Raw genomic sequence first — 10,705 nt, forward strand, 5'->3', positions numbered from 1 at the left:
GAGGTTTTCAGCTTACCTCCCTGCATGCACTCTGCCTTTCTTGAGTTTGTTTTGTTCCTGGGAGGCTGATTCATTTGTGCTGCATCAATAGGTTCCTTGTTCTCTGGTTTCTTTTAGAGTTGGACCATTGGAAGCACTGAGAAGAGGTCAGAGAGTGGTAGAAAGGCAAGGTCAAGTGCATTTTCTGGATCCCTCTCTGCCAGGATACCCTGAGCGAGTGCACATCTTCATCAAAGGTCATACTCCCATCAGCTGGCCCTTTCTCCAACCTCAAGTGCCCTCTGAGCTCCTCTGTGGGCTCCCTCTGCTTGTCCCTTGGGTCTAAGGGTGGCAATAGCCCTACAAGGTACAATAAACCCCTTGTTGGTTTTCATCGACCTTCACATAGTTTTGACGTAGCCCCTTCATTAAAACTCTCCTCAGTGATGCCCCTTGGATGTGCTCTTTTATATATATATATATATATATATATATATATGTTTTTTTTTTATTATACTTTAAGTTCTAGGGTACATGTGAACAACGTGCAGGTTCGTTACATATGGATACATGTGCCATGTTGGTGTGCTGCACCCATTAACTCGTCATTTACATTAGGTATATCTCCTAATGTTATCCCTCCCCACTCTCCCCACCCCACTACAGGCCCCGGTGTGTGATGTTCCCCTTCCTGTGTCCAAGTGTTCTCACTGTTCAGTTCCCACCTATGAGTGAGAACGTGCGGTGTTTGGTTTTTTGTCCTTGTGATAGTTTGCTGAGAATGATGGTTTCCAGCTCCATCCGTCTCTTTCATCCTCACATCTTGACTGACATTAGAGAGAAAGCCGCCCCTTTTCTGATGGTTACAGATAATTTGTTCTCAGCCTGGAGGCAGATGTTGGGAGAAGGAAAAAGCCTTTTTCCCTTTTTTTTCAGTCTTCTTGCAGGCAGAAATTCTGTATTGATGTATTATATTTTTCTTTCTATTATCACCAGTTTTTCAAATCCAACATGCCTCACTGTTAACTCCATTTCTCTCCAAAATAAAATAAAGTTACCTACACTTTTGTTAAAATGTTAATGTTTTCCCTGTGAGTAGGTTTCACCAGCCGAAGCCCCATTCATTTACACCTGAATTTCTGGAAGGATGGAAATCTCTCTCCTTCACTGGCTCATCAGTTACTCATTTATATTTCAGAATAAGGAGGTTTCAGACGGAAAATGATGTCTGGTGGTTATTTAAAGAGTAAGGGCTGCAACTAATTGGCTCTTTGGCACCAGCATCTTTTTCATGACAACATGGGGGCACTTGCTGTTATGACCCGCATCTATTTTACTGTATTGAATATGATGGTGGTTGTAAACGGAAACATGTTTCCCACTTCTGCTCTAAATAAAAGCATTGTAAAATGCTGTGGAATTCCCTCATCCAAAATATTTGTCTCATTAAGAGTTTTCTCACATCAGTTAATGACTTAATTAGCAAAACTCCTCAAATTAAAACCTTTATCAACATTAACTGTTGGCAGAGATAGAAAATTCTCATCCTTACCTCTCACCAAAGTTCATATAGTAACATGAGAAGAGCAATTTCCTATAAATGTTAAACAATAAATTTCTTAGGAACTTTCACTTCCACTTAAAGGGCAGCCAGGGGGCAGGAGGAGGAGGGGGTGAAAATATTGCTCACCAGTGACTAGACTCTCTAAATGCACTCCTGTTGACTGCCTACATGCCTGTTTACAATTCCTTTTTTTTTTTTTTTTTTTTTTTGAGATGGAGTCTCGTTCTGTCACCCAGGCTGGAGTGCAGTGGCGCGATCTTGGCTCACTGCAACCTCCAACTATCGGGTTCAAGCAGTTCTCCTGCCTCAGCCTCCTAAGTAGCTGGGATTACAGATGCACACCATCACGCCTGGCTAATTTTTGTATTTTTAATAGAGATGGGGTTTCACCATGTTGGCCAGGCTGGTCTCGAACTCCTGACTTCAGATGATCTGCCCACCTCGGCCTCCCAAAGTGCTGGGATTACAGGTGTGAGCCACCACGCCCAGTCTCTTGTCTACAATTAGTAAAGTGTAAAATCATATCATGTCTATTTGCAGCCCCATTATTTATTTAGAGATTTGTTCTCTTTAAAATATCCTAGTGCAAGTTGAGCAGTAAAATGCTCCTCAACTCCAGTCAAAAAGGCCTTGTGGGAGGGCAGGGAGTATATTGAGAACAGGGGCAAATTCAATAGTCCATCTCTCCCAAGTAAAATTTAAAAAATATATAAAATTGTGCAAAAAGAAACCACTATGCAGGCAAACAGGGATGACCTTCAAAATCTTTCATCACTGGTACTGCAAGACACTGTCAATCAGAACAGACATCAGCCACCAGCAGCTACTCCTAGACTAGTGCAGATTTGGTAAGACAAGCATCATCCATGACATACCAGGGTGTGTGTGTGTGTGCCAATATGTATGGCCTGTGTGATTTGAGAAAGGAATGGGATTCCTTTCTATGTTAAATGGAGTTAGCATAGACCAAGAGAAGAGAGGAAAGAGATGGAAAGGTGAGGGAGACGGCGTCCAGCCAAGTTTGGCTACAGGGCATTGCCACGCTTTGCTCATTACAATGATTTCCATATTTTTGATGCATTTAGCTTTTCATGGTGCTTTCATCCCATCTCATTTTATCCTTAAAGACAAATATAGCAATATTCTTACTTTATAGCTTAAGTAGTAGACTGGAAAGGTGAGATTATAAGGGTGTCTTAGTTCTCAAGTCAAATACCTTCTTCCTCTGTAAGAGGTCTTGGAAATAAACTTGTGTCCCAGATTCTGGATTGAGATATTCTTGCCCTTACACTATGTGAATTCAGTCTTCCATTCAAGGAATTGAAAGAGGCCCTGCTGCAATAAATTTGTCTTTGCTTCTTCTGCCAGCCCCTGTGAGCGCTATCCTTGGATCAGTCCTCACAGTCTGATTGCCCTGCTTCCTCTAGGTGTTGGCTCTGATCCTGACCTTGGCTCAGCTCAGTTTTAGATGATCCTCCCGAGGATGCAATCTTAGTCAGTACCTGTTTTTAGTACTATTGACATGCCTGTGTCAATCTTATTTGCTCAGTGATTCTTGCCTCTCAAAATGACTCAAGAAAAGCACCTTATTCTTCCTTTTATCATGGGCATGGTTACTTTTTTGTTTTTTGCCAGTTGGGAATGTGAAGCTTTGTGTAATTCATTTTTCTCAGATCTTTTCGTCTGAGAGTCAAAGCAGAGTCCCAGGCCGGGCGCGGTGGCTCACGCCTGTAATCCCAGCACTTTGGGAGGCCGAGGCGGGCAGATCACGAGGTCAGGAGATCAAGATCATCCTGGCTAACATGGTGAAACCCCGTCTCTACTAAAAATACAAAAAAAAAAATTAGCCGGGTGTGGTGGCGGGTGCCTGTAGTCCCAGCTACTTGGGAGGCTGAGGCAGGAGAATGGCGTGAACCCGGGAGACGGAGCTTGCAGTGAGCCGAGATCGCGCCACTGGACTCCAGCCTGGGCGACAGAGTGAGACTCTGTCTCAAAACAAACAAACAAACAAACAAACAAAACAGAGTCCCAATTACAGTTATAACCACCAAAAAGACTGCTTTCCTTTCAAAGACCTGCTCCTATTTGGATCTATTTGTAGGAGGCCTCAGAGGGTGTCTCACTTATGCTTCCATATGACATCCATTAATTTTTTTCCTCTCCTTTTCTATACTCTGCCCACCCCTGTTTTAATATGTCTACAACTGGGTACATCAATGATTATATACTTTGTGAGAATTGCCATGTCTGGTCAGCATCAAGGGTGCTATTATATATGTCAAAACACTCTCACCCCCACCCCAACTTCTTTCAAAGCTTCTTTTTACTATTTCTGTCTTAGAATACTCAGGCTGCTATTGCAACATGCTTTAGACTGGGTAAGATTGAGTAATTGCAAGCAATGAAATTTGTTTCTCATAGTTCTGGAGGCTAGGAAGTCCAAGATCAAAGTTATAGCAGATTTGGTGTCTAGTGAGGGTTCATTTCCTAGTTCCTAGATGGTGCTTTCTCTCTGTGTCTTCATGTGGAAGAAGGGGCAAACAAGCTCTCTCAGGCCTCTTTTATAAGGGCATTCATCCTATTAATGAGCACTCTATCCACATGATTTAAAAGTCCCCATCTCTTAAAACTATTGCATTGGGGATTAGGTTTCAATATATGAACTTGGGGGTGACACAAACATTCAGACCGTAGCAATTTTAATGACATTTGCTGCATCTTGCTACTACTAAATCTGTTTTTCCAGATGCCCGTTTTCAGGCTCTGACCTGTGACAGTCGCGTGCTCTGGATGTGTCCCTGCAGGGATGCAGTTATCAATGTGCTGAGGCACTCGAGGTGCTAGTGGCCGTATCCTATAAAGGCTCCATGGGGCCAGCTATTTTCTGGTATAACAGGAAAAATCTTCTTCCTCCACTGTCTTTTTTTTTTTTTTTTTTTTTTTTTTGAGATGGAGTCTTGCTCTGTCCCCCAGGCTGGAATGCAGTGGTGCCATCTAGGCTCACTGCAATCTCTGCCTCCCGGGTTCAAGCAATTGTCCTGCCTCAGCCTCCCAGGTAGCTGGGACTACAGGCATGAGCCACCACACCCAGCTAATTTTTTTTGTATTTTTAAATAAAGATGGGGTTTCACCATATTGGTCAGGCTGATCTCCAACTCCTGACCTCAAATGATCCACCTGCCTCGGCCTCCCAAAGTGCTGGGATTACAGGTGTGAGCCAGTGCACACCTGGCCCTTCCTCCACTTTTATGCTGATCTCTGTTAATTCTCTGGACTTCAGAAACTGGGAAGTTCTTGAATCATATATAATCAGAAAATCCACAATATGGGTTTAGAATCTTCAGAGCCTCAACAATGTTAGACTCACTTTTGCTCTTTCATTTTCTTCTTTCCTCCCTCACTCCCTCCCTCCTTGGTGTCAATATTTATCTCCACCCATTTCAAAGCCCCACATCTCTCTCTTTCTATTGCTTTCATTCCCACTTGCTATGAAGTTATTTCTTTCATGGGGAATGTGATGAGTTTGTTGAGAAATGGCCTGCCATTGACCCAGGCTCACATCATCCTAGCTTAGCAACCTTAGAGGAGGGATACTACTTTTTCTCTTTCAAAGTAATGTGGTTGCCACCATAGGTGGGACCGCTGTGACTCGAGTCCCCTGTGCCTCGAGTCCTGGGGCAGCCGACTGTGCCACCCCCACCCTCACGGAGCCAGGCTGGACCACTCCCAGGCCCGGAGCCTCCACTGCTCTAGACTGTGGCCCTACGTCACTGCTGTCACCCGCTGCGGCTGCAGGGAGAGCATGGGGAGGAGGTGGACAGTCCCCGGAGCCCCCCGTCCTGCGGGCCGCCGTGATGGGGCCGGGCTGAGTCTCCAGCTGGTGGGGGAGCAGAGCAGTCGGGTACGGAAGGGGCAGGCAGAGAGGGGCCCTGAGGGAGAGCTGGGCCTGGAGTGGTGCCACGCTTCCACGGGGAGTGTGGGGGCCGGCGGGGGGCGGAGCTGGGGCCATGCTTCAGGGGCCCGGGGTGGGAAGTGGGAGGGGCTCCCACTACAGGAACCAGGGAGCAGCCAGCCACCGTGCCCACAAACCAGTCATGCACCTTGGGAGAAAGCCCTGGCGGGGCCACCCAGGGCCACGTCCTCAGGGTCGGCCCCACATTGGGGTGACTGCCGAGCCTGAAGCTCCCGAAGGCCGGACTGGTGCTCATGATGGGCTCCCAGAGGCGCTCCCAGAGGCACACCCAGGCAGAGTTGCCAGCTGGGTGAGGAGGAACCTCAGGCCTCCCCTGAGCCCGGGGACACAGAAAGAACTCACAGCAACGTCATCCTTCCCCCAGTTGCCAGGCTCCCGCCCCAGGCTGCAAAGAGGTGTGGCGAGGTCACTCCAGGGAGCTGGCAGAGCAGGGGACAAGTGGGAGCCCTGCCCCTTTCTAGTTGGTGGGGTGGGAACTCCCTGGGTGCTGCTGCAGGTGCCCTGCCACGGCTCCAGACCCAGGCATCTCTGTGCTCTTCGGGGTCTGGGAAGACCCCCTGCCTTCCACAGGCTCAGAAGTGGCTGCTCCCATGGCCTGGCCCAGCTGTTGGTGCCTCTCCCAATCTCTGAGCAAAGTTGGGGGATGAGCCTGCACACTTTTGCAGCCCAGCTGCGTTCACACACTCGGGGCAGCACTGACATGCAAGCCCCCTGCCACCTCAGCCCCTGTGGACTTCGGGCACCAATAAGCACGGGAGGGAGGCAAAGGGGGCCCTGGGGACAGCCCCACACTGGCCTTCAGGCGCCCCTTAGCATGAACAGCCTGGATGCCATGAACAGCCTGGGTGCTGTGAACCATAGTGGAGGCAGACAGGCTCCTGGGCAGAATGGGCTGGTCTCCAGAGAGGCCCCACCTTCAAGCAGGGAGGACCTGAAGCCTGGGAGCCAGGCCATCAGTCTGGTGGACCAGAGGGGGATCTTATGGTGCTTTTCCCTGTGCCCACCCATGGCTGCCCATGGACAAATCAGCATGCACTTCCTCCCCTCTGAGGCCCATAAAATCCTCCAGACTCAGCCAGACTCAAGCAGAGGATGGGGAGACAATGGGGAGATGACTAGAGGACCAGCTGCAGAGATGAGCTACCCTTTCTCCTGAGAGTTGAACACTTGTTGGGACACCCTGGCTAGGGAGAGAAGCTGCCCACTGCCAGTCTCCTCAGAGCTGTTTCATTGCTCAATATAGCTCCTCTTCATTTTGCTCACCCTCCACTTGTTTGTATACCTTATTCTTTCTGGTCAAGGGACAAGAACTTGGGACTTGCCAAATGAGGCTAAAAGAGCTGTAACACAAACAGGGCTGAAACATGCCCCTTACTTGCTATGTTGCAGGTGAAGAGAAGGAGAGAAAAGATGCAGCCCTTCAGGGATCCCAGCCCTGGAGGCTCCCAAAGCCAGGTCTGTGACTCCCTCTTTGGGGCCCTGTGGTTCCTGATGTCTCCAGGCTTCCGGGCACCACTGCATTCCCTGGTGCCAGCCAGGGAAGCTGCTTGTGGTGCACCTGGTCCAGCTGCAGTCTCACAGAGAGTGGGCACCCATCCCAGCACCTGGAGCTGCCTGTGCCATGGCAGCAGCTGTCGTGTCTGACTGTGTGCAGTGGCTGGACCCCACACTCGTTCACACACCCCTTGCTGTTCCATGCCTGACTCCCACTCAGAGTCGTGGGGTCCAGGCTGGTGGCGTGAGCCGAGCGTGGCCTGCCAGGCCAAGTGAGTGGAACAAGCTCAGTGGGCCCGAGCAACACTCAGGGAAAGGTGCCACCAGCCACAGAGGTTTCTGGCCAGAAAAGCAACACCCCAAAGATCCTGTAACGATATGTAAAATCTTATCAAAGATACTGTTTGATACAGTTTGGGTCAGGTGCTTTTGCTTGCATCAATCGTGGTGGCCCGAGGATAAGATATTGAAATGGAGAGTACCATTAAAGCCTCACAAAAGAGAGGGTAAGAAAAATTCCACAAAGAAGGAAAGGTACTGCTATCGGAATATGAACGTAAGGGATGCTGGGCAGAAAAAAGCAATAAATGCTCGGTTAAAAAAATAAATATCTTACAGAGCTTTTGGTGAGAAAAATTGTAAGTTTTTATTTGCTGCTCATCTCTCTCTAGAACTCAGAGATGAATCCATGGAGGTAGGTCAAAAGAACAGTTTGGTCGCTGACTCTACTGAGTCTCCTGTCCCATACTGTGACCAAGGCTCTAATATTAGACATAGCTGTGTACCAACTCTTTTCCTGGATGTATTCTTTCTCAGGAGACTCTTTCATCTTCCACTCTATAAACCCATGGTAGCCATCCCAACACAGCCCTATAAACAAACATGCTCAATCTGTCTAAATCCTAAAATGAGTACTTCTTAGGACAGTGGAAGATGTGTAATATCTTGCTTTTTCCATAATTATAATGGGAAGAATTATAATATCTATCAATGTCTAGGGTTCCTTTTATTATTAATTACTCAGAGCTTTTGTAAAGTGTTTCAAGGTCATTTCAAATGAGGATGATGTAAGTAGGAAATATCTAATTACTATATATCATATTATTTTTGTCCTGTTAAAGAAATTTATGAATGTCTCAATATTTTGTATAATGCCGCATTTTATTAAAATGCCATGAAAAGAAACATTCTCTCTTTAAATCAAGAGGAATAAAGAGAACAATTATATTTCTGGGATTATTTCTATATAGTGCTTACTGAAAGAAAACACATGGAACAGAGGACATTTAGAGATTCTTCCCCTCATTATACGAAGCCCTAAATTTATCTTGCCACACTGAAACATTTTATTTGGATCGTCCCATTTCTTTCTAAATCTTTCATTATCAAATTTTGAGCAAAAAGAAAAATTATCTGTACATAGCCTATGTAAAATCACAATCATAGCATGCTTTTACATAGCTCAGTAAGGAAAGTATTCAGTGTTGATAATTTAGTTTTTAATTCTTATTTTGGTTTCCTTTTTTTATGGAAACAAATCAAGCATGGTAATTATTGAATCTCAAATTTCTACCCCAGCTTCAACCTTTCCTTCATCTCTTGGTTGTATAACCTGTTCTCTCCCCAACATCTCCATTCGGCATCACAATAGATCCCTCAAATAGAAGTCTTGATTCTTCCTACCAAAACATGCCCCCGAATCCAAATTCTATCAGCTGTTAAGCTATTTCTCAGCTTGAACCCCACCTGTCTCCTCACATTTGTTTAGCCAGTGGGTCCCTGTTAGGCTTTGCCAGGAGGGGGCGCTAGAGAAAAAAAACTTTAACTCTGGAGAAGACAGAAGGAACTTGCTCCTCCTTCCTTTTGGGTTTCTTCCTGGTTTACTTTCTCTTCCTGTTTTGACTTCCTGTTCCTGTCAATCTAACCCTGGCAATGCTTTTCCACCTGGCAGCAGTGGTTTATCCTGATGCCAGTAGTGATCACAGTTTTTCCCAGCTTTTGTTATGTCTTCTTGGAGAAACCAACAACACCAATCACCTGGGAGGTCTGGGTCCCAGCTCTGCAGTGCTTTTCCTCTAAGCTGAGAGACAATAGCACCAGCTAAGCAGTGCCCCCTTCTCATCGTACTCAGCTACATCGGACCTGCTTCCACGCTTCTGAATATTCATAATTCCAACCCCTTCTGTTTGTTTTTCCATCCCTGGGAGTGGTGGTTGCTTCCTGCAGTTGCTACCTCAGTGATACCATGGTGTTCACTTTGCCTAGGTTATTTTTTAATATTAAATTTTATATTAAATAATCTCTGTTAAAATAACAGGTATAGTTTCTTCCTCCTAACTGGATCCTGACTGATACAGTCCCCATCTTGGTGAAACAAATGATCATCCCACTTGCTCATGCCAAATACTTAGAAATCATCTTTGATTTATCTTTCTCTTATACCACATTGTCAATCCATTAGCAAATCCTTAAAGATCTACCTCTGGAGTACATCTTGCACTTGAGCACTTCTTGTCACCCCCATTTCTACCACCTTCATCTAAGATGCCATTACTCTTTGCCTGGATTATTGTTTTAACTCCTACCTGATTTTCTGAATCTGCCCTTGCCCCCAATTGTGCATGGGTCAGTGGAAGTGATCTTTTTTTTTTTTTTTTGAGATGGAGTCTCCTTCTGTCACCCAGGCTAAAGTGCAGTGGCGCGATCTGGGCTCACTGCCAGCTCCACCTTCCAGGTTCACGCCATTCTCCTGCCTCAGCCTCCAGAGTAACTGGGACTACAGGTACCCGCCACCATGCCCAGCTAATTTTTTTTTTTTTTGGCATTTTTAGTAGAGCCGGGGTTTCACCATATTAGCTGGGGTAGTCTCGATCTCCTGACCTCGTGATCCACCTGCCTTGGCCTCCCAAAGTGCTGGGATTACAGGTGTGAGCCACTGCACCCAGCCTGGAGTGATCTTTCGAAAACTTAAATCCGATGATTTTACTCTTCTATGCTCAGCTCTCAATGACTTACCATTACACTTTTAAAAATCCAAACTCTCTGCCCAGGCCTGCAAGGTCTTAAGTGATCTGGCTCTGACACTCTCTCTGACCTCATCTTCTGGACATCACATACTGGCTTTATAGCAGTCATTATGCTGCCTCCTAGGTAAAGCTGAGAAAGTTAAGACTCCCAAAGCCCCCCTCCCTTGATTGCCCCCTCAGTGTGCTGGCCTCTCTGCTTCTTGTGCTGCATTTTTCCTGCCCCTCAGGGGCAAAGCTTTCCTGTCTCGGACCACTTGCCCTGAAAAATGAGTTTGAGTTGTATCATGCATACGTTAGGGGGTTCTACTCCCAACATTACTATTAATCTTAATTCTTTAAAAAAGACATTTTAGAGACAATGCTTTTAATCCCCAAAGTTATTCTAATGGTGGGAATAAAAGGTTTCCAGCAGTACCATGGTGATGAATGTCAATGGTTGTGACATTTTGACCACTCTCAAATTCATATCACTGAGGGCTATTCCTCATTAATTCTGGGCTCTAAATAACCAAAGTGTGGCTCATTTGACTGCAAGTAACAGAAGCTGACTCCTAGTAGTTTAAGGGACAAAATGTATATATATATGTATATATATTCTTTGACAGAATAGTGGCATATTCACTGAATTCGGGGAAGAAGTGAGCAACTCAGCCCTGTTGGGAAGGGTAA

The 10,705-nt window shown here is 46.1% G+C and overlaps 1 annotated feature.

Annotated features, from left to right (window-relative positions):
- Positions 8,711-9,005: an enhancer, noted in NCBI's record as "tiled region #5532; K562 Activating DNase matched - State 12:CtcfO". NCBI's record gives its function as "activates a minimal TATA promoter and a strong SV40 promoter by Sharpr-MPRA in K562 cells {active_cell/tissue: K562}" and the evidence as "EXISTENCE:reporter gene assay evidence [ECO:0000049][PMID:27701403]".

This window comes from Homo sapiens, chromosome 1 (genome assembly GCF_000001405.40).
Source record: "Homo sapiens chromosome 1, GRCh38.p14 Primary Assembly".
NCBI lineage: Eukaryota > Metazoa > Chordata > Mammalia > Primates > Hominidae > Homo > Homo sapiens.